A 24,354-nucleotide genomic window follows, 5' to 3' on the forward strand; every position below is an offset into this window, starting at 1 on the left:
TGGGATAGGAAAATTGGTATGCAATTTTCCTTTTAGAAATGAATTGGTTGTTCTGGTATATTCTACCTGGAGGTAATGCTGAAAACATGCATTTGGAAAAATATTTGAATGCCTATTTTTAATACTTAGTACTGCACTTTTACTTCATTTTACTGTTTGTAACCACTGGGTAGCATATGACAAAGTAGTAAGTATGAGAATTGGTATGAGTGCCCAAACTTACTTTTAAATGATGTCCCCCTCCCTCTCTATTCCTCCCAAAACTTCTTCCGCTTTTTACTTCATAGACCTCCGGAATTGAAAAGGATCCTGTGAGTCTTCCACTCGCCCCCTCCCAGTACTGGATCAGCCCCAAGGGTGTTTATTCACTATGGGCTGGAACATTTTCAGAGACAAGGAATTCACTGGTTCAGACAGCTGCTCCACCTTTTGTCCGCCCTAGGAACTACACGGAATGAGCTTAATCCTTTCACATTTATTTCATAAAGAATTTAGCTACAGATTAACAATTTCCAACTCTCTCACTCTTTCACTTCCCCCTATACTATGAAACCTATCTTTTTTCATCTTTAAATTCAACTTTGAGTTACCCAAAACAGTCATTTGGGCTGTAGACAAGGATCACACACAATGTGTCAAACAAACACACTTGTTTTAACAGTCAGTGGTTTCAGTAGGGCTTACAGTAGTCACATGGCTCTCTTGGCTACTGGTAATTACAAGTGTGAACCAATGGCAATTTGGCAATGACCACCAGGTTGCAGACTCATAGGCACTTCCACAAAAGACAAAGTTTCACTACATCAAAATTTCATTTTTAAATAATTATTCAATGACTGGCTGGGCGTCATGGCTCACGCCTGTAATCCCAGCACATTGGGAGACCAAGGTGAGCAAATCACTTTAGGTCAGGGGTTTGAGACCAGCCTGGCCAACATGACGAAACCCCATCTCTACTAAAAATACAAAAATTAGCCAGGCGTGGTGGTGCACGCCTGTAATCCCAGCTACTTGGGAGGCTGAAGTAGGAGAATCACTTGAACCCGGCGGGGCAGAGGTTGCAGTCAGCCGAACCCAGGGGACAGAGGTTGCAGTGAGCCGAGATCACACCACTGCACTCCAGCCTGGACGACAGAGAGACTCTGTCTCAAAAAAAAAAAAAATCATACAATGACTAAACATCTTATTTTGTCTCACACTACTCTTCTTGCTGCTGATTAACTGCTTGAATTTCATTACAAAATAATGCAAAACAATGACCAGCCTGTTTGGGAATTTCAGAGCACTAGTATGTATTGTAATATAAAATCAATATATTAATAGAGTCATCCCTTGTTATCCTCAGAGGATTGGTTACAGGACCCCCCACCCCACCCCCAACAGCAAAATAAATGGATGCTCAAGTCTCTGATATAAAATGGCATAGTATTTGTATACTTTAAATCATCTCTAGTTACTTATAATACCGAATACAATGTAAATGATGTGTAGTTATTATACTGTATTGGTTTTATTTGTAGTATTTATTTTTCAAATAGTTTTAATCTGAGGTTGAGTCAGCGGATTTAGAACCCATAGATACAGACGGCTGACTGTACTTTTATACATAACGCTGCTTCTAGAACTTAACATTTTATGAGGATACTAAGGAAGGTAGGAGGATCACATATCCCAGCAGTATCTAAATGGTTAACCTAGGGATTTCATTTTCTCATATAATTAATACCAAAAGTTATAGCAAGAAAAGTTTTTTTTTGTTGTTTTTTTTTTGAGATGGAGTCTCGCTCTGTCGCCCAGGCTGGAGTGCAGTGGCATGATCTCGGCTCACTGTAACCTCCGCCTCCTGGGTTCAAGCGATTCTCCTTCCTCTGTCTCCTGAGTACTGGGACTACAGGCGCGTACCACCATGCCTGGCTAATTTTTTGTATTTTTAGTAGAGGCAGGGTTTCACCGTGTTAGTCAGAATGGTCTCAATCTCCTGACGTCGTGATCTGCCCGCCTAGGCCTCCCAAAGTGCTGGGATTACAGGCGTGGGCACCCGTGCCCGGCCCAAGGAAGGCATGTTTTTTAAGTACACACTGTAATAACAGATTGGCCTTCTTCATGATTTTTGTATTATAACCATACACAATTTAAAAATCACAATTTCTATTAAACTTTAGACAGTCATTGATATTTACATTAGCCAATCTTTTACAGTCCCCAATCTACAATGGTTCAACTTGGGATTTCTCAACTTTACAATGCTATGAAAGAAATATGTATTCAGTAGAAACTATAGTTCAAGTATTCACACAACCATTCTGTTTTCACTTTCAGTACAGTACAATGTTTGAGATATTCAACACCTTATTATAAAATAGGCTTTGTGTTAGATTATTTTGCCCAACTGTAGGCTGATGTAAATGTTATGAGTACGTTTAAGGTTGGCTAAGCTATGATGCTTGGTAGGTTAGGTGCATTAAATGCATTTGCAACTTACATTTTCAACTTATGATGTCCGGAGATAATTCCATTGCAAGTTGAGAAGCATATATATTATCATTCTCTCAACATAAATACATAACTTATTCATGAATACTTAGAAAATTGAGAGAAAATATTGGCATGGATTAATCAAATACTTTAATAATCAACTGAATTTTGAAAGTACTTGCATCTCTCAATTCCCACGGCAAGTGCTATTTAAGCCTCTACATTTAAAAAGCTTCAGTAGGCCAGGCGCAGTGGCTCATGCCTGTAATCCCAGCACTTATGGGAGGCTAAGGCAGGCAAATCGCTTGATCTCAGGAGTTCGAGACCAGCCTAGGCAACATGATGAAACCCTGTCTCTACTAAAAATACAAAAATTAACCAGGTGTGGTGGTATGCATCTGTGGTCCCAGCTACTTGGGAGGCTAAGGTTGGAGGATCACTTGAGCCCAGGGAGGTAGAGGCTACAGTGAGCCATGATAACACCAATGCACTCCAGCCTGGAAGACAGTGAGACCCTGTCTCAAAAAAAAATTTAAAAATTTTTTAAAATGCTCGACTAAACCACTTTAATATTAAGTATACGGGAAAACATCAACTATTCTATAACAAAGAAACATGAGATGTCAGTTACTAAAATATAATTGTCCAGTTAAAGATTCCAGCATTCCAGGGAAAAGTATTTTCTCTACCTAACCTGTGTGATATTCCCCAAAACAATGAGGAAAGAGGGCGGAGAGAGAATCAGAGTCCTGGTCATTCACAAACTAGTGGCATTTGAAATTGAATTAACACACAGACTCAACCATTATGCATAAACTACACAAGGAAACATTTAAGACAGCTTTTATTAAATACAAAAGCAAAATAAGCTCTAAGGAGTAAGGTAGGGCTACTTAAGGGCGTTTTCTGTGGACAGCGGACACAGCACCATTAAGGTTAGCTTAGATTTGAACAAACCATGAGCAGACAGCTAACTACATGTTATGTTTCTCTTAGTAGTTTTAGGGTCTGCCCAGTAATCAAGAAATTTTACTTCTCCAGAATACATGAACATGGGAACCAAAGAAATGTAAATATTTCGAAAAAGCACTACACAATAAAATGAGACGCAATCCTTATGCAGGTCAAGATGTTCTCCACATCTACAATGTGCATTAACAAAATTAATGCAGATAAGACCTTCACTCCAACCCCAAAGATCTTACATGGTTAATACTATTTTCCAAAATCAGCAGAACAAGCTGCAGTTACTTCTTTTAGACATTTAGCTTTGGAACTTTGAATTTCAAAGTAAAATTGTTATAAGAAAGCTAGTCAATATATTTAGCAATAGAACCACTCTTTTACTTTTGATATCATTCTGAGGTATTAATTCAGAACCATCTTCCAAGCTATACTGGTAGCACCACAGACTTACTAGCTGCTGGTCATACTGCACATCAATGATTGGTTTGAGCAAAGGAGCTTAAAATGATCTAAGGCTAGCATGATTAATAGTTTCCAAAAAGGATGAACATGAGTACTTTTATGAGCAATGCTAGATAAGGTATCCATGTTTTTCTTTCCCCTGAAGAATGTTGTTTTAGAATATTTTTGCCATCAAAATTTCTGATTTACAATCATGATATACAACTGAGAGATGTACATTTATGGATGTTAAATGACATAAATAAGTAAACTAGACACATACTTTTAAATATAGACCATTATTTGAGTGGGCTTGATACACTGCTAGGATATAACCACACCTAAGGTGAAAGCTCACCCCTACAGGGTATAAGTGATACACGGAAGTCATTATTTGCACTATGGCAATATTCCACGAACTCTATTCATAAACATAGAAGGAGAAGAGAGGTGTTGTACAAAGGATTTTGCTGGTTTCAAAGCACATACAACTTTATTTCCTTTCTATGTAAATATTTGACATAGCTTCAAAATATATTGATTTGGGGAGCAGAGAAGAGCTCTATGAGAACTGTTTGCAGGAGTGGTCGTCAAGGTGAAAACACTGAACTGGCTTTAAAAGAGACACATACTGCAAACTGCTGTGTACTTTGTTGCCATGTGAGAGACCATTATCTGGGTACATGAATTTGACTGGTAGGTCTGTCAGTTCATGGTACAATCAGTGAGGCTAGGAAACTATTACTTATACTCGATCCATACTCAAGTCAAAAGTGGATGGTCTTGGTCATTTCCTATCACTTCCCTTTCCCATGAAAAATAATTCAAACTTCAAACAAATTAGCAGTTTGTCCATAGCCTGGGACCAAACCCTCCTCTACCCTGGAATGAGGAGTGAGGAATATCATTAAGCATTGAGAAAACTGTCAAACATCATTAATAACATTTGGATATGAGTGTTCAAATAATTTCTACACCATACCTCCTTAGTATTAAAGGGCCATACTGCCACAATATAGTATTATTACTCAGTAAAGTAACGGCTAAACAGACATTTATTATGTTAGGGTTTTAATTCAGGACAATCTGTGGTATCCATAGCAACAAAAAGTTGTTGGTATAGATATAACCACAGTGTTACACAAGATGCAATAAAATAGACACAAACAGGGAAAACAATTTCCTAGAGCTAGAAAGCTTTTAAAGATAAAGCACATAATACCAAAAGTAACTGTAATAAGGAGAAAAAAAAAAAGAGTACCTAAATGAACAGCTGTTGCTGCACAGGGAATGTTTAACGTAAACTGAATTATAAACCCAGGCTAACCATGCCTCAGCTGAACCCACAGGAATAATAGGCTAGGGCCACCCCAAAGAGATTGATGTGGAAAATAAATCCAGAGCAATGAAAAGAGCCAGTCGGATATTGTCAGATTCAAGTATTTCGTTTCTGCTTTCTCTTGGTAAGTGATCTAATTCATAAAACACTGACATGGTAAAAGTGGGTAGATATTAGGAGAGCAGGTACTCAATCTTTTAATCACTTACATGCCTAGGAACTCACAAACTACCACAAAGATGGGTGAAACTCCCTGTCAATCATCTTTGAGGAATCAGCTGAAGACTACATATCTTATTTGGGAAACATGAGAAAATGGCTTCCACAAATCCCAACCAGTAAACTTACTCCTGGAGAATATTCTGGAATAGATTATTAAAAGGATGTTTGTTAACACTTATGAAGTAGTGTTTGCTAAGAGAGGCAGGGTTCACGAAAATATTTTGACAGGAATACTCAAGTAACAGCCCCAGGAAACCCATCTGGATTATAGAAGACTTGGCCAGGTCTTGCATGATCAAAAGTCCTTGTGAACAAGAAAGAAAACTAAGTGCATGCTGATGTAATCAGGTGGACTGGAAACTGAATGACTGCCTGTGCTCAAAGCATGAATCTTGAGAGCCCAGCAAGTACTCAATAAATAATTTGTTACATGAACTGACCAAGAGTCAGATCCCTCTAGTTCTCCAGACTGTGAAATACAAGGTCTTTAAAGCTTTCCTTGTTATGGAACAGTTTGAGTCTCTTCACTCTTCTGGTTCTAAATCTCTTCCTCAACATACTCACCCCCATTACCCAGAATAGTTAACAGCTACTCTCTCCCAACCATGGGAAAGCACTGAAATAAAGCACTTTTCACTTAGTAGAGAATAAAACAGCATCTAATCCAACAAGTTCATAGAGTAAGATTTCCACAAACGCATCCATAAACTTCCTTGATCATGTGAAATTTCTATATATTGGTTCTCTTTCTTTTGATCCTCTTCTCAAGAAACTTCCAAACCACTTATTTTATTTTCAACTGCCTTAACTTCCTCATCCCAAATAAAGCACAAGATTTATTTATGCTTATGAAAACATGCAAGCCATAATTTACCTGCCTTACAAGCAGCAGCAAAAACTCAAATTTACAAGCCATTTTACCTTAAAACTGACTGTTCCAAAAAGGAAAAATCAAAGTAAAATATTTTAAGTGCCACCATAATTTTTCTTAATTGGTAAGAGAAATGATGATGCTATGCCATCCACGTTTATGAATCTTGTCAAATGACAAAAGAGGTTAATGTGCTCGGCATTTAAAAATTTTCCTTTTTAGATCTAGGCATGGTATTTTTCAGAAAACCCATAATGTAGTACGTCACTTTTTAAAAATGACAGCAACATGTCTTTATCATGGATTAAGCAAGTTTAAGAAATACTATTTTTAATCTCAAACAATGCACTGAAAGTGAGTCTTAATTTCAGAGTTTTATTGTATTGCACTAAAGGAACAGCAGGATGGTTATACAATTTTCTCTCATTCAGTTTTGAAAATCTGTAGTACCTGCAAATTCTTAAGAATACCTTTACCACCAGATTAGAACAGTAAGCATAATAACCAATTTCTTAATAAGTAATGTCTTACAAATAAAAACACATTTAAAATAGCTTTAAATGCATTCTTCACAAGTAATTCAGCATATATTTTTATATCATGTTTACTTATGCTTAAGAATTAAAGCAAGTATATTTATTACTCTGATGGAAATATGGGAAATCTCTCATTCATGCAATATACAGGGATAATATTCAAGCGAAGGGAAAATTCCCGCTTTTTATTTTTGTAAATGTATCCATATATAATCATCGACATGACAGATGAGGAAACCCATGAAGTTTCCCACTAGTCAGATATACATTTTCACTTCATCAGAAGCACCTGATATCTACAGCTAATTTATAATTAGATACTGTTTCAATGAAACCAAAATGAGCCCTACAAGTTCCTATAAACAAAAGCTTCCAATGTACTAGGACAGTCAGTAATTAATGCATCATTCAGAGGATTATGGCTGTTCCTTAAGAAGTGCAAGTTCAAACCTGTCAACACCAGAGGTAATCATTTTATATTAATTTATACGTAATACCATTTAAAATCTTTATCTGAGTATAACATATGAAAACAGTCTTTCCACAAGCAAAAATGTGGAAACATTTAAAAAATAAGGAGTCATTTTTTAAAGTAACTGATCAGATTCCACAGGCTACTCTTGGACAGGATCTTGCTGGATAGAATCCCTTCATTTGGTGGCTTTTTGCATGCACTTAACTGGACCAATTCTTCTGTGTGTTGTTCTAAGAGCTCACCAAAACATAGATCATGCTGAAAAGAAGAAAAAAGATGTTAATTTGAACATTACTAATTATTAAAAAAAAACTCAGAGCATGAGAGAGTATGCTTTATATAGCAAACTAGTATCACAGAAAATGACAAGACTAATGACAAGTTCACAGTGATTTTAATTTGCATTTATGGACTTTTGCCTAACATATGACTTGGCTCAGTGCATATGCTGTAGTTGTCCCCTATTCCCTTCCAATTTTAGCAAGTAGAACGGCACAGCTGAAAGCTTAATGGCGGATCAGAGCTTAGAGAAGCCATCCAAACATCACACACTCTGGAGTTGTGTCTAATAATAGAATGAGTATCTCTGGAGGGCTCACTTCACGCCAGGCCCTGTTAGGTCTCTTATATACATTACCTTGCTTAATCCTTCAAGGAGTCCTAGAAGGCAGGTACCATGTGTATCCCCATTGTATAGAAAGGAATGATCAATCAAGGATCTTTCCCATTACAGAAAGGATCTAAGCAATAGCAACTTTTAGGAAGTGGTTAAAAAAGAAAAGGGGGGAAAACAGCAAAATAAAAGGCAATGACCTTTTGATTTAGGTTTAAGAACTGCCAAGGGCAATTCTACAGAGTGCTATGGGAACGGCATAGGGGCATGATTCAAAAAGCACATAACTCTAAACAGAAATACAAAGGAGTTGAACAAGCTTGATAGACAACCTTAAAACACAACAAATGTCCTGGTGCTACCATATCCTGCTGAACATTTTCCCACAACTGCACATCTCCAACTTTATCATTTATTCAATCATTCATTTCATTTCTTTCATTCAACAAATACGTATGAAGTGCCTATCATACACCAGCCCGTTCCAGACATTTGCTATGGAAACTTATGAAATGAAAATTAACAGGAAATTAAAGTGACACATAGAATTTCACTTTTCAGAGCACTTCTTTGTTTCATAGATGAGTAATATCTGCATATGCACTAAAGGATACTCATTTTCACAGTAATAGCCTCTAAAGGCATAAAAATACCAAAAATACCTTTTTCCTAAATTTCAGTCTAACCATTCATCTTTTCTATGATGGAAACTTATGTATGAAGAGAAATATGAATATGAATATAAGCCTATCTTAGCAAGTTTTCAAGTAATGAAAAAGAGAAGGGAAGCTTATGCTGTTTTTTAAAGCTTACAGCTTTTTTGGAAATATTCTGAAAATCAAGGAGAAAGTCCTCTCTAGTTGAGTATGTATTAATAAAAAATGAGAAAGTATTTTATATAAGTGATGTGTAAAAGTATATTCACATAGCTTAAAGAAATATATAATTCTACATTTAACAGTGTCCTTTTCTAGTTTTAATAAGCAGTCATTTCACTGCACCTACAACACACCTACAGCAGTGGTTCTCACCCAGGGCAATTTTGCCCCTCAGGACATCTGGCAATGTCCAGAGACATTTTTGGTTGTCATGAGGGGGCAGGAGGGTGCTCATGGCAACTAGTGGGTAAAGGCCAGGGATGCTGCTGAACGTCCCATGATATACAGGACAGCTTCCCACAGAAATTCCCACACAGCCCAGAAGCGTCAACAGTGCCGAAGCTGAGACACCCTGACCTAGAGGAACAATGAGTCCATGAGAGTATAAAAGGAAAAAAATCAGGCTGGGCGCGATGGCTCACGCCTGTAATCCCAGTACTTTGGGAGGCCAAGGTGGGCGGATCACCTGAGGTCGGGAGTTCAAGACCAACCTGGCCAACATGGTGAAACTCTGTCTCTACTAAAAATACAAAAATTAGCCGGGCGTGGTGGTGCACGCCTGTAATCCCAGCTACTCAGGAGGCTGAGGCAGGAGAATTGCTTGAACTTGGTGGGGCGGAGGTTGCAGTGAGCAGAGATCGCGCCACTGCACTCTAGCCTGGGCAACAGAGACTCCGACTCAAAAAAAAAGAACAAAAATCGGAAACTGCACCACCCTGTAAGGTAGAACTACTTCTTTCATTCATACCACTCAAATCAAGCAAATCAGAAAATAAAGGGCAGAGCACACCACTTATGAAGAATGATAAGGAAAAAATGAAACATAATGTCTGGAGAGACCCTGAAGACAAGCAGAAATTTCTGCAAACTCACACATCCCTATCCTTCAATGACATCACTTTGCCATGGAGAATGAGGACCATCCTTTACTGACTGAATGTGTCTGAAAACTTATGAAGCAGCATCCCTGACCAAACCTTCTGCCTCTGATGGCAGGCTGGTTTACTGCCTTGACAAGCACCAGTGTGGGCCACACTGAATGTGTGCGAATTTGCTGGTGTGCACCATGCACACTTAAGACACTAAGTTATTCTTCAAATGGATTTTGAGGTGTGAAAACCATAATGCCTGCAAACTTTTAAAGCAGCAAAGTGAAAGCATATTTCATTTTACCTTTTCAACTTACCCATATAGGTAGTAAAAAAATGCTAGAAGATAAAAAGCTAATTTGCACCATCCTTCCTTCTGACAATATGCTAGAATATCTGCATTCATGATGGTTGTAGGGTCATAGAGTCCTGGGCCACTCATCACTGGTCTACTCATATACCTGGAATAAACACAGTCTATTAGGCATTCAGAAAGGGCAGTAAATGTTCAGATAAGAAAGCAGGTCTTTCTTCTAAAACATCTGTTACGAGAGGTGGTCCATAAAGGGAAGCATTCTTTTACTTATGGGTAAAATGCTTTCCTTTTACCATCTTAATTTTAAAAGTAGAGCCCCTAAATGAGCAGAATGAGATAGCTAAACAAGTTTCTTCTAGTCTCTGCCTTTTCAGAAATCCATGAAAAATAGGAAGAACTGTAAAAAGAAAATAGGTGTTTTGTTTTTACTTATCTTGGCATAATTTTAGACTTACAGAAAAGATACAAGAACCTTTCACCCAGATATTCCAAATGTCCATTTTTACTATATTTGCTTTCTCCTTCTCTTTCTCATTCTGAGTACTGGTTTTTTTTGGTTTTTTGTTTTGTTTTTTTGTTGTTGTTGTTTTGAGACAGGGTCTTACCCTGTAACCCAGGCTGCAATATAGTGGTGCAATCTTGGCTCACCACAATCTCAGATTCCTGGGCTCAAGCAATCCTTCTGCCTCAGCCTCCCAAGTAGCGGGGACTACAGGCACACGCCACCATGCTTAGCTAATTTTTTTTGTAGAGGGGGGTTTTGCCACGTTGCCCAGTCTGTTCTCCAACTCCTGGGCTCAAGTGATCCACCTGCCTCAGCCTCTCAAAGTGCTGGGATTACAGACATGAGCCACTGTACCTGGCCCTGAGTAAATTTTTTTTTTTTTGAGACAGAGTCTTGCTCTGTTGCCCAGGCTGGAGTGCAGTGACACGATCTTGGCTAACTGCAAACTCTGCCTCCCAGCCTGAAGCAATTCTCTGCCTCAGCTTCCCAAGTAGCTGAGTTTATAGGCGCCCGCCACCACTACTGGTTAATTTTTGTATTTTTAGTTGAGACAGGGTTTCACCATCTTGGCCAGGCTGGTCTTGAACTCCTGACCTTGTGATCCACCCACTTCGGCCTCCCAAAGTGCTGGGATTACAGGCGTGAGCCACTGCGCCCGGCCAAGTACATTTTTTTCTGAATCATTTCAAAGTCCATTGTAGACCTGATAACACTTTACTTCTAAATACTTCTTCAGTATATGTCTCCTAAAATCAAGGGCAATAAGGTTTTGACATGCCTATTTAAAACAAAAACTTCTAACTCTATATACGGCAGATATTACTATGGAAGTTATAAAATATTATCTTTTACAAATAACCAAAATTAGTCATAAACACAGAAAGAAATTAGACACATACTGTACATTTTGACTTACCTGAAGTTCAAGGACAAGCAAAGCTAATCTAAGTTGATAGAGGTCAGTGGTCTTGGGAGGTGTGGAGGGTAACTGACTTAAGATGGGGCATAAGTGAATGCTCTGGAGGCTACAACTGTTGTGTATCTTGATCTGGGTGGTAGTTTAACAGGTGTATACGTATGTAAAAATTCATTGAGCTATATACTTCAGACTTGTGCACAACACTAAGTTATACTTCACTTTTTAAAAAAATTCCTTTAAAAATAAAGTAAGCTCTATATGAGGTATTGAAATAGTTTTTGTTCACCCACTTGATTTTTAAAAAAATAAATGCCAACTGATCTTCCATTTTTATGTAGGTGACTAGCATGTAAGATAACCATATCAACCACAGTATATTTAAGTTTTAATTTAAAAAAATATTAAAAGTGTATCTAAATATTACCTCCAAATATGATATGCCAAGAGGGGCATATTGAGACCCAGTGTAAGCCACTCTGCTGCACAAAGAAACATGACACAGAAGAAAGCGTGGATGAGGTACTCTGGGAGTACAAGCTGGAAGGAAAACACAAGCCAGTTATCAAAATGCCTCAGCATTAAGTCAACTACTAATCTGGAAAGCAGGTGGCAACCAAGTTTCCATAATGAAAAATCACTGTTTTCTTAGACTCAGAAATAAAAGATGCTACTGAGTTTTATTTCCATGTTTAACTTTTTACCAAAAGTAGGATTACAGGCAAACTGACCAGAGCATATAGCTTGCACTAACATAGTAAGATACATGACTTAAAATTCAAAGCTCAAATCCTTAGAGAAACAGATCAAATTATATAAAGTTACCACCCAGATTGTTAAACAATATGCTAGTCAACTAGAATACTTTTTCTTTTCACCATTCAACAATGATAGAAGTACAAAAATGAGATATCTGATCACATGCAACATATTAAAAATTCCACAGAAACAAAACTCCCCTTTGGAATTTTACATATCAGTGTTTTTAAGCCTTTAACAAAAACCAGAAATGCTACATACACAATATTTAGCAAACCACATTGCATTCCCACAGAAGTAATTTTTTAATGGAAAGCCAATCAGCCAATAATCTCAGCACAGTGAGGGGAAGAACACTAATATGCGCAAATGTAAAAGATTCGCTTTCTGCAATGTAGGAGGGAAAAGACTGAGTTCTTAACCATGAAATTAAGATTTTCCAGGTTCCCAAGTTCTCATTCTTAGGTGGCCTTTCCGTTTCTTTACCCCTGCTTGCCAACAAAATGCTACAGACACAACAGAAGACCAGTAGAAGCTCAGAACCCAAAAACAAAATAAACCTTTTGGTACTAGGTAATATTAAGTGAAGAAAAATTAATTCGAGCAAAATGCTTTTTATAAAATGACCAGGAGTTAATGCTTTATGTTAAATTATCTTTCTCATCCTAAAGATTTCAGCCTGAGGACTTTGTTAAATAAAAATACCAAAACCTCTCATTGCAAGTTTCAGCCGAAGTATCTCCTGTAAGTCACAGCTACAAAGCCAGTTTCTCAAATGTTTACTTCATACCAAATGGAAATCATATGAATACTTATCATCATCAGATCACTCCTGAGGGGAAACCATGGCTGTAGATATTGTAATCACACTACATACTCAGACCCATTTTCTCATACTCCCAAATTACTCTTTCCAATTTAAAGCTGTAGAGGGGACTTTCTAATGAATACTATTTTTAAAAAAAATCCAGGTAAACAACTCATCTACACCACTAACCAAATATTTTCTACAAACTTAAGCAATACAATAACAAAGGATAAACTCGGCATATGTACCTAAACTTCTAAATAACATTTAAGCCAGCATCTATTTAAGATCAAAGTTCTCTAAACAAGAAAAGGGCCATAGGACTCTGAAACTCAAGGACTATAACCAGAACAAACCAAGAAAAATATACATTTTATTAAGAATTCCACTAGAGTTGCTTTTATAATACTTGTTTAAATTACAGACGTTGTCTTTAAAATATAAGCCTATTTCAGCCCTAAAAAGCCATCTGATACCTAACAAACAAATCCTCATGCAAGGTTTTATCCTACACTTACAGAATGAAGTATGGAAAGAATGATTTTGAAAGCATGAACCCCTCCCGCTCTTAATATTACTTTAATAAAAGTGTTAATAAAGATAATCTACAACTCTACCAGTTCTAATATGAAACAATGCCATTCCCTCCCTTCTCCTCAAAAGGAGTCCAGAAACATTTACTACCCATCTCTCTTAAAAACCAACCCTCTCCGAGCATTCTTTAATGACAAAATTTCCCCATAAGAGACACAAAAATTATTCAATTTAGGAACCAAGGTTCAAACAGAAACTAGTATCCAGAAAAAAAACCTCAAGCAAATATGGCTGAAATGATAACATTTAAACATGCAAAATATAATATTCTCTTGTTAAAGTTCACAATTTAAAAAATAGTGATATTTGTCTTCCCCCATACTTTGGCAGAACTGTCAAAACAAATTTAAATAGGGAAAACTGTCAGATGCACTGCTATTCAGCCAATTATTGGCACCCTATCCAAAAGGCAACCTGTGCTGCTATAAAAACGTCCTTCAACCTCCTGCAGCATTAGGATGTCCCAAGCACATGTCTCTTCTCAGTGAGAATTTCTTTCCGTTAAGAAAAGCCAGGAATCGCACATTACCTGTTAAAATGAAACCTGTCCCTCCTAAATTTACAATACATTAGGAAAATACAAGAACTTGAGCTTCAAAAATTAGGCTGTCTTGAGTTCAAGTTCTGACTCTATCTTAGCTGTATAACATTCGGCAAAGTGCTTTAACCTGGCAAAGCTTCAGTTTACTCTCCTATTCATGAGATAACAATTTACCTACCTCAGGATTGTCATGAGAATTAAATTTAAAAATTCAGGCAAAGTGCTTACCACAGAGCCTAGCACCCAGGAAAATCCTCATCTGATTTCAAATATTTTTACCTTCATCATCATTTGGTTATTGAAGTAATGAAAAGACAAACAGCACAGAATACTATTAATAAACAGCTATCAAAAGGGGAAATTTCAGTTTCTTCATTTCCTGGTAACAACTTCAACTACTTAGGTTAAGATGTTTTAAAATTAACACTTAATGCTTTCCAAGAGAAGGCAAATTCATCTTCTTATGTCTTGTTTCATAAGAGCAAAGAAACAGCTAATAAGTTAATACTTTTAATTGTACCTACATCAACTCTTACTGTAACAGTTCTCTAAAGACAAACTAGAAATCTCTTCCACCATCCACATTTATCTGGGAAACAATAATAAAGTACCAAACTAACTTTCTAGATGCTTTTCCAAATAAAATCCCTCTAGCACCTAGTGCTAGTACACTAGTATGCTAGACAATTAAAATCTACACAAACTCTCCCCTTCGTTAAGTAATTTTTAAAGCTGAATTACTGTATTTTATTTCTTGAAGACATACCCACTGCTTTCTTATAAACAACCAACCTTTCAATTACTGACCAGTCAGGCAAAATCAAATACACAGGCTAAAAGAGTATCTTCCTAAATGCAGGCAAAAATACAAAAAAACAAACTGGGTACCCTGGTGTGTGCCTGTAATCCCAGCTACCCAGGAGATTGAGGCAGGACGATCACTTGACCCAGGAGTTTGATAAGAGCCTGGGCAATATAGAGACACCCCCATCTCAAAAGAAAATTTAAAAATACATACATATATATTTTTTCAAAAACCCTAAGCACAATGGAGCTACATTATCACTAAATTCATGATGGCTCAGAACTCAGTGTAATTCAGGCCTGTTTTAGAAACAGAAAGTAGATACACACTAGAAATAACCACATAGACATTTGTATACAAATTGTTATCTACAAAATTATGGCACCCTAAGTCCAAAGAATGGCATTGCTGCGAGATCCCAGAGCCCCCAGAACAGAGCTATCCACCTAACAGGCTCTGAATAAACATCAGCTGAAAGAATGACTCATTTATTCCAGAATATGCAAACCAAAGATAAAACTAGATATGGCAGATAAGTCCATACTAAAGATTTCACTCACATACTACCTCACAATAAGTCACAACCCGAGAATCATCTCACCATCTATTAGTCATTTTATGTTAACCAACTTTCAAGTACTACACCAAATAATTTCACATAGAAGTGCCTATGGCTATAACATAAAAAAACGCATACGCATTTAACAGCTTTCCCTACTTGACTGGGCCAGCAAGCATATATTTGCATAAAATATGAAATTTCATGAAATCATAAACCTCAACAGGCATATGAACGAGCACACTGAACAAAACGTTACAAATACAAATGCCCTAACCCTCCCCATGAAATGAATATAGCATTAAAACATTTAACTAAAAAGCAGTACACACCTTTAATGCAATTTTGACTCTTTTAATCTTTTTGACCTTTTCAACTGTCTTTGGCCGACAATGTAAAAAGCAGATTGGAAGAATGTTAGTATGACAGCTGACAAGATCACCAGCAGATTAATAATAGAATAGTCAAGCACGACAGGAAAAAGAAGATTTTTTAAATTCTGCCTACTTCAAAAAGTACAAATATATTATGCTACTCAGAATACTGGCCATTTTCAAATTACTTCAAGTTAAAAACAAACATATTTTTAAAATCTAAAGATAAATCCTATATTATAACTTACGGGATTCAGGGTATTACACTGGTCTATAGGATTCTTGTAATCAGTCTTCAGCTCATCAAATGCTATAATCTAAAATAAAATTAAAACAGTTAGGACCACTCACTTTAATTAAAAGCAGCAACAAACCTGCCCCATCTTCAAATAATTATTAAAGTTAATAAAACAAGAACAAAAGTACACCAAGATCCCAAATACCAATTTACAGTAAACTCATATATGACAAAAAGAACCAGAATGCGATTTAAAGTGAAAACACTCTTATCTCAGTATCACTAAAATTTGGTATTACTGTAATAAATACCTTCAATTTTCAATTTCGTCAATGCCTCTGCTCAAGTTATTTCAACTTATCTCTACTCGAAATAATCTTCTGAGTAGAAAAATAATTTCAACTGTTTATCCAAATTCCTCTTTATCCTAAAAAAAAAACAAACCTTCCTAGGTCAACTTCTTTCTGCAGGCTTTCCTAACTCCTTTGGGCAGAAGTAATTGCCCACATCTCCACACAGCATGGGACTCTATAATGCCATCGATATGGCTTTTCTCACCCTGGAGTGTGGTATTTACACACAGGTCTGTCTGCCCCTCTACACTCTCAGGGAGAAGGACCATTTTTATTTATCTGTGCATGCTCCTCCTCCCTTGGCACAGTGCTCAGTGGGACACTAGAGATGGATTCGAACTCTTCAATGTGTTCCCATTGGTGCCCAAACACATACATTTGTAAGGATGCTTTTGTCCACACTCTGGAGGAATGTGGCTTCAACCTCAAGGGTCACTAGAATGTACATTAAGAGTCAAAATAGGGACTCTGCACCACTTTGTGGCATCATTTCAGGTGACAAAGAAAGAAAACAAAGGCAGCAAGTTGATGGGGGAGCCATTTTAGTTGCTAACACTACTCACCCCAGGGACACACAAACTAAGCTACCCTTCCCTTAATGAGTTAGGAATAGTATCTTTATATGTGAAAGTGTTGCTCAATATTATCAGTAATCAGTAAAGTTACATATTTCCATCTTTTAACATGACTGTTTATTTCCCTGTTAAAATTTAGATTCATAAAAAGACGGTTTTTTTAATTTCTAGAGTTCCATAAAATTCACCCACCTGCCCTAATAAAAACTCCAACCAAACAACAATAGAAGGAAAATAATAAAACATTAGAATGTAATCTCTGAAAGAACAAAGATTGTTGTATTTACTATTATGTCCCAGGGCCTAAAATATAAAATAGTGCCTGGCACATAGTTAAGTGTTCAATAAATATTAACTGGAAGGAGGGGGTGAAAAAAATAGCACTAGGGATTAAAAAAAAAAAATGCAGAACTCACCAGGGGGATTTCCCTTGGCTAATGACACCTAACACAAATGTTAAAAACATACATGTGTAATTAGAAAATACTAATTTCTGATTACTTATGGACGTTATTAGTCTGCTACTTGACGTCAGCCGTGGTATATAACCCCAATGCATTTTAGTAATAAAGCTCAAGACAAGGATGATAATCATAAGTACTTGTCTATAACAAGATCCAACTTAACAGAATACAAAACTTGTCTTTAAAACTGACATTTAATTGGACATTTTCTCCAGGTGACTTCAAGGGTTTTTTTTTTTTTTTTCTTGAGACAGGGTCTTACTCTGTCACCCAGGCTGGAGTGCAGTGGCACAATCTCGGCTCACTGCAACCTCCACCTCCTCGGCTCAAATGATTCTCCTGCCTCAGCCTCCGGAGTAGCTGGGACTACAGGTGCATGCCACCATGCCTGGCTAATTTTTGTAGTTTTTGTAGAGATGGGATTTTACCATGTTGCCCAGGCTGGTCTCAAACTCCTGAGCTCAGGTGATCCACCTGCCTTGGCCTCCCAAAGTGCTGGGATTACAGGAATGAGCCACTGTGCCTGGTCACAGGGATTTTTTAACTATGTTGTTGAATGGGTTTCTCTTTGAGTGCTATAGGCTAGGGTTTTCGAACCTCTTCTGAGAATATTCTTAATGATTTTCAAATCTTTTTGCAGCTATGTGGCTGAGCAAAGACACCCACAAAATTTCCTACAGAAGTATAACAAAAATAAAACAGATAAATCCCTAAAGATGCCCAAGTACACAATTCAGAATACCTTCCAATTTAATACACATCTTTAAGGAATGACTTTTAAGCTTTTAATTTTTCAAACAATCTATGCTCCCGACTCTATTCTCCACAGAGCATCAATGACATGAATTAGGACTAAATTGACAGATATAATCATCAGCATAAAAAACATTCTCTAATACAGTGATTAATGTAAATAAGATTTTTGGAATGTAATTTAAAAATTGTAAAATGAGTCTTCTGAAAGATACTTCAACTACCTGCTAGAGTTTGGTTTAACTCCTCCAAATCTCAGGTTGAAATCTGATCCCCAATGTTGGAGGCGGGATCTAACGGGAGGTGTTTGGGTCATGGGAGCAGATCCCTCATGAATGGTTTGGTGTCATCTTGGAGGGAATAAGTGAGTTCTCCTGCCATTAGGACCCAAGAGAACTGGCTTGTAAACAGCGCCTGGCACCTCCCCCTCTTTTTCCTTTGCTTTCTCTCACTATGGGATCTCCACACACTACTCCCCCACCATGAGTGGAAGCAGGCTGAGACTTTCACCAGATGCCCAGTCTTATAGTCAGCAGAATCCTGAGGTAAATAAACCTCTTTTTTCTTTGTAAATTACTCAGCCTCCCGTATTCCTGTATAGCAACACTATAAACACTATAAAGGAATGGACTAAGATACTACCTAAGATGATAAACATAAGGTTATATGGGTAATAGAAAAATTAAAACTATCTATTTATTTAGAATTGTTTCCAAAAGGATACTAATTCTCTGAATGAAGAAATCCCTAAGCATAAAAGCTCTCCACGAATCTGCGGTATAATTTTTTTTTCATTGTATAACACGACTTAAAATTATTTACTTCACCCAGACACGCATTTGTTTAAGCTGAAATTACCCATTTTTTGAAAGTGCGGTTCAGGTTTTCCTTAAGCCAAACACAACCTGGTTCAAAACGTAAAAATGTGAAAAAGCCTACCCCACCACTCTAAGAATCCCCATCATCCCAGAAAAAAGGAATACCCATCAAGCAGAATGACTTAAAGCTACATCTACAGATGGAATGGAACCACACACTTTCTTTCTTTCTTTTTTTTTGTTTTTTTTTTGAGACGGAGTCTCCGCCCAGGATGGAGTGCAGTGGCGCCATCGCGGCTCACTGCAACCTCTGCCTCCTGGGTTCAAGTGATTCTCCTCCGCCTCAGCCTCCCGAGTAGCTGGGATTACAGGCGCCCACCACCATGCCCGGCTAATTTTTTTGTATTTTTAGTAGAGACGGGGTTTCACCATGTTGGCCAGGCTGGTCTCGAACTCCTGACCTCGTGATCCTCCCGCCTCGGCCTCCCAAAGTGCTGGGATTACAGGAGTGAGCCACCGCGCCCGGCCATGGAACCACACATTTTCATCAGAGGCCTACTAAGGTTGAGCTAGTCTGTATCCCAAATTATCTTAGGTATTGTTCTTCCATCAAAGCAGGGCTGAAGATGCTCTTCAAATTACTGCTCCTACTGACAAGCATTCTGAGGTAGCAGTTATTTCCGACACAGTTAATAGCCTACATAAGTATTCCTGATTACAATAAGCAGTCAGGTCCTAAAATAATTGTAAACATAATCACACTGCTTAGCAAAAAGGAATGGATTTGTGATATGCTTCCACTTTCGAGACTTTTTTGCACAAGACGCTGCTGCTGTTTAATCATTCTGCCCCTCCGTATGTTTCATAGAAATCCTTGTTACTGGCATGATGAAACCTGACTTAAAATCTACGTAAGAGTGAACGCGGTCATTCAAATTAAAAGCAACATTCCAGAAGGCACTGGAATATGGGGAAAAGAGAAGCAAGTATGAGATAAATTTTTAATGAATGATTTCCAGAAGGCTCTCAAGGCTTTTAATTTTGTGCTAAAGCAACAGAAATTCTTATCTCTGTAGAACTATGTCACAGGGAACTTACGACTTTTTCCTTAGAGGGACCAGTAAGGCTGTGCTTCCACCCTGCAATAGTGATGATGATGTGTGTAACAGAAATAAATACTGCCCCAGAAAAGCTTAAGGTTTCTGAGCATCTCAAAATCAAATGAAAACTCCCTCTACTAAATCAAGCAATCCTGAATATAAGGGTGGCTTGGAAAGCTGCCTGTTGAAACTCCAGCGGTCAAAGTATGATTTGGGGGGGAAACGCGCACATGCAATCAACAAAGTAATCAATTGAACTTGCATCAAAGTTCACCAGGAAACAACAATCTGGAAAAAGAGAAAAAAAGTGATTTGATTTGAAGAGCACCGAACAAGTGCTGAAAAGTAGAGTTGGAAATTCACCCTAAGTAGGTTACATTTTGGCCACAGTTCTGTGGAAACCCTAAAAGAAAGTCAATCTGTATTAACAAAAATTCGGAAAACTTCATTCACACTACGGCCGTCCCACCGCGCTGTCGACATCCTCCCCGGGAATGCAGGGCCGCGGGCCGGCAGAGGTCGGTGCGAACGCAGCGCGGAACCGCGGGCGCCCGCCTGGACCGCGGCCGCCCCATCCAGTAGGGGAGGAGTAGCGGTGCGCGCGGCCTGTGCCGAGGCAACGCGGGCGCGTCCACCTGGCGACTGCGCGCCCCGGCTCCTCCAGTACCCGCGGCCCCCAGACCCCTCGCCGCGCGGCCCGTGCCAGCCGGGCCGCATCCCCGACGCGCAAAGCCCCGGCGGCCGTGGCGGCCCGGACCGCGGGCCCGGGGCGAAAAGAGGCTGTGTTGCCGCCTCGCCCTCCTTTCCCCAGCCCCAGCTACTCACGTGCCAAATGGCGAAGAAGATGAGCGCGGCAGTGAGCAGCAGCGCCAGCATGTAGCAGAAGGCCGCGAACGTGAACGCCATGGCTGGGGAGGAGGAGCGGGGAGCGGCGCCGTTGCCAGCGGAGAAAGGCGGCGCAGGGCCCTCTGGGTAAAACCATTCACTTCCCCCGGCCACAGCCGCGACCGCCACCGCTACCGCCGCGGCGCCAGCCCTCTCAGCGCGCCTGCGCACCAGCCCAGCCGCCCCGGCGCCCTCTGATGGCCGGAGTCTGCGTTGCACTGACATTGTCCGCACAGTTGTTGATTGATTTTTCCTTCCTTCTTGCGTTTATTCTTTCAACAAATATTTATTGAATGAATGCCTAGTTTGTTACAGGTACCGCGCTTCTCGCTTCAGATACAAAGATGAATAAGATAGTACCTGCACTGAAAGAACTTAGTATAGTGCCGGAAATGAACACCTAAATAAATAATTACGTTATTATAACCCCGTAAACGGATGTGTGTGGGATGCTCTGAAAGGTCAAAGAAGGACAGCCAGCCCGCCCTGGAGCATTTAGGCAGGATTCCTGCTGTAGGTGTTTCCTAAGTTGGCCTTAGATGATGATAAGTTCTCCAGGCAAAAAGAAGGTAGAACTGGCAGTCCAAGGAAACAGTTCAGAATGAGGAAACGCAACAGAGATGGAAAAAAGAAAAGAAAAATAAAGCTTCGTGTCTCAGGTGAAACCAGCAGCAATTCTGTATTAATGGAACCTAAGTGCAAGACAGTGGTGAGACTTAGAAATGAATTAGCAAGGGATCAGATCATAGAGGGCCTTATAATGCTTCATTACGGAGCTCAGACTTCTTATCCCATAAGCCCAAATTTTTTGCTCACCACACACAACTAGAAAGATTTTTTTCATTGCAACCCAGTGGAATATCATACAGACATCAAGTTATGAAGAGGTGGAAATCTAGTTATAGAGGCAAAGAAATATAGATATGACCAAAACAAAAATTTCACAAAACTGTACTAATGATCCATAAGTACTTTCCCTTCTCTCTTTTGCTACTTGTTTTTAATGCTGGTCTTAACACACAAAATTGATTCAAAATTGATTTAACTTTCCATTACAACCATTTTTAAAAGAAAAAAACTCTATTAACTGATTGCTGCTGATGGAAGAGAAAATCATTGAAGGCTTTTGAGCAAAAGAAGACCATGTTTAGATTTGCATTAAAGATCGTTCACCTAGCAAATTGCGTAGAATAGTTTAGAAGCAGGGTCTGTCCAGTGCTGTGCAATAGAACCTTCTGTGATGGTGAAAATTTTCGATACCTAAACATTGCCCAATACAGTAGCCACTAGCCACATGTGGCCATTGGGCACTTGTAAATTGTCTAGCATGACTGAGGAACTGAACTTTAAATTTCACATCACTTTAAGTAAAATGTGGCTAGTGTATTGGACAGTACAACCTGTACCACCAGGATTATGTGGCACCTGTGTGCAAATTATCAAGTTACTTTTGGCCAGGCACAGCAGCTCATGCCTGTAATCCTAACACTTTGGGAGGCCAAGACAGGAGGATCACTTGAGCTCAGGAATTCAAGACCAGCCTGGACAAGGTAATGAGATCTTGAGAGGTGACAGCGTGCTGGCAGTCCTCACAGCCCTCCCTCACTCTCGGCGCCTCCTCTGCCTGGGCTGCCACTTTGGCGGCACTTGAGGAGCCCTTCAGCCCACCGCTGCACTATGGGAGCCCCTTTCTGGGCTGGCCAAGGCCAGAGCCAGCTCCCTCAGCTTGCAGGGAGGTGTAGAGGAAGAGGCGCGAGGGGTAACCGGGACTGCGCAGGGTGCTTGCGGGCCAGCTGGAGTTCCGGGTTGGCGTGGGATTGGCGGGACCCTCACTCGGAGCAGCCGGCCGCCCCTGCCGGCCCCGGGTGATGAGGGGCTTAGCACCCGGGCCAGTGGCTGCAGAGGGTGTACTGGGTCCCCCAGCAGTGCCAGCCCACCGGCGCTGCACTCGATTTCTCACCGGGCCTTAGCTGCCTTCCCGCGGGGCAGGGCTCGGGACCTGCAGCCCGCCATGCCTGAGCCTCCCACCCCCTCCATGGGCTCCTGTGCAGCCCAAGCCTCCCCAGCGAGCGCCACCCCCTGCTCCATGGCGCCCAGTCCCATCGACCACCCAAGGGCTGAGGAGTGCGGGTGCACGGCGCGGGACTGGCAGGCAGCTCCACCTGCAGCCCCGGTGTGGGATATGCTGGGTGAAGCCAGCTGGGCTCCTGAGTCTCGGGGGGAAGTGGAGAACCTTTATGCCTAGCTCAGGGATTGTAAATATACCAATCAGCACTCTGTATCTAGCTCAAGGTTTGTAAACACACCAATCAGCACCCTGTGTCTAGCTCAGGGTTTGGGAATGCACCAATGTGCACTCTGTATCTAGCTTCTCTGGTGAGGCCTTGGAGAACCTTTATGTCTAGCTCGGGGATTGTAAATACACCAATCAGCACTCTGTATCTAGCTCAAGGTTTGTAAACACACCAATCAGCACCCTGTATCTAGCTCAGGGTTTGTGAGTGCACCAATGGACACTCTGTATCTAGCTACTCTGGTGGGGCCTTAGAGAACCTTTGTGTGGATGCTCTGTATCTAAGTAATCTGGTGGGGACATGGAAAACCTTTGTGTCTAGCTCAGGGATTGTAAACGCACCAATCAGCGCCCTGTCAAAACAGACCACTCGGCTCTACCAATCAGCAGGACATGGGTGGGGCCAGATAAGAGAATAAAAGCAGGCTGCCGGAGCCAGCGGGGACAACCCGCTGAAGTCCAGTTCCATGGTGTGGGAGATTTGTTTTTTCGCTCCTTGCAATAAATCTTGCTACTGCTCTCTCTTTGGTTCCACACTGATTTTATGAGCTGTCACACTCACCACAAAGGTCTGCAGCTTCATTCCTGAACCCAGCAAGACCACGAGCCCACAGGGAGAAACGAACAATTCCAGACGCACCGCCTTAACAGCTGTAACGCTGCGAAGGTCTGTAGCTTCACTTCTGAGCCAGCGAGACCACGAACCACCAGGAGGGAAAAAACTCCGAACGCTTCCGAACATCAGAAGGAACAAACGCCAGACGCGCCATCTTAAGAGCTGTAACACTCACCACGAGGGTCCGTGGCTTCATTCTTGAAGTCAGACCAAGAACCCACCAATTCCAGGCACAATCTCATCTCTATTTCTTTTTTAAAATAATAAAATCCAATAACATTTTTTGTAAAGTTACTTTCTGCAGATGGACAGAGGCCCACCCCAGAGTGTAGGAACACAAGCTATACTTCAGCCCCACCAACCCTGGTCGTGCACCTATGTGCAGTGCACAAACTGC

General features: G+C 39.9%; 1 protein-coding gene across 1 annotated transcript, besides 6 other annotated features; it reads right to left on the reverse strand.

Moving 5' to 3' along the window:
* Nucleotides 3,303–21,116, reverse strand: CNIH1 (cornichon family member 1). Its single transcript, NM_005776.3, has 5 exons — nt 20,989–21,116; nt 16,111–16,179; nt 11,850–11,962; nt 10,003–10,146; nt 3,303–7,583 (listed from the first exon to the last, which is right to left on the reverse strand). The coding sequence occupies exons 1-5, from the start codon at nt 21,067–21,069 to the stop codon at nt 7,556–7,558; spliced, it is 435 nt and encodes a 144-aa protein (NP_005767.1). The 5' UTR covers nt 21,070–21,116; the 3' UTR covers nt 3,303–7,555.
* Nucleotides 20,590–20,639: a silencer, noted in NCBI's record as "silent region_5761". NCBI's record gives its function as "represses an Ori minimal core promoter by ATAC-STARR-seq in GM12878 lymphoblastoid cells {active_cell/tissue: GM12878}" and the evidence as "EXISTENCE:reporter gene assay evidence [ECO:0000049][PMID:35858748]".
* Nucleotides 20,650–21,009: a silencer, noted in NCBI's record as "silent region_5762". NCBI's record gives its function as "represses an Ori minimal core promoter by ATAC-STARR-seq in GM12878 lymphoblastoid cells {active_cell/tissue: GM12878}" and the evidence as "EXISTENCE:reporter gene assay evidence [ECO:0000049][PMID:35858748]".
* Nucleotides 20,650–21,523: a biological region, named in NCBI's record as "H3K27ac hESC enhancer GRCh37_chr14:54907701-54908499".
* Nucleotides 20,725–21,523: an enhancer, noted in NCBI's record as "H3K27ac hESC enhancer chr14:54907701-54908499 (GRCh37/hg19 assembly coordinates)". NCBI's record gives its function as "activates a minimal SCP1, AML or CMV promoter by ChIP-STARR-seq in primed H9 embryonic stem cells {active_cell/tissue: H9 hESC(primed)}" and the evidence as "EXISTENCE:reporter gene assay evidence [ECO:0000049][PMID:30033119]".
* Nucleotides 21,050–21,319: a silencer, noted in NCBI's record as "silent region_5763". NCBI's record gives its function as "represses an Ori minimal core promoter by ATAC-STARR-seq in GM12878 lymphoblastoid cells {active_cell/tissue: GM12878}" and the evidence as "EXISTENCE:reporter gene assay evidence [ECO:0000049][PMID:35858748]".
* Nucleotides 21,400–21,459: an enhancer, noted in NCBI's record as "active region_8410". NCBI's record gives its function as "activates an Ori minimal core promoter by ATAC-STARR-seq in GM12878 lymphoblastoid cells {active_cell/tissue: GM12878}" and the evidence as "EXISTENCE:reporter gene assay evidence [ECO:0000049][PMID:35858748]".

The sequence above is a fragment of the Homo sapiens genome, chromosome 14 (assembly GCF_000001405.40).
Source record: "Homo sapiens chromosome 14, GRCh38.p14 Primary Assembly".
Taxonomy (NCBI): domain Eukaryota; kingdom Metazoa; phylum Chordata; class Mammalia; order Primates; family Hominidae; genus Homo; species Homo sapiens.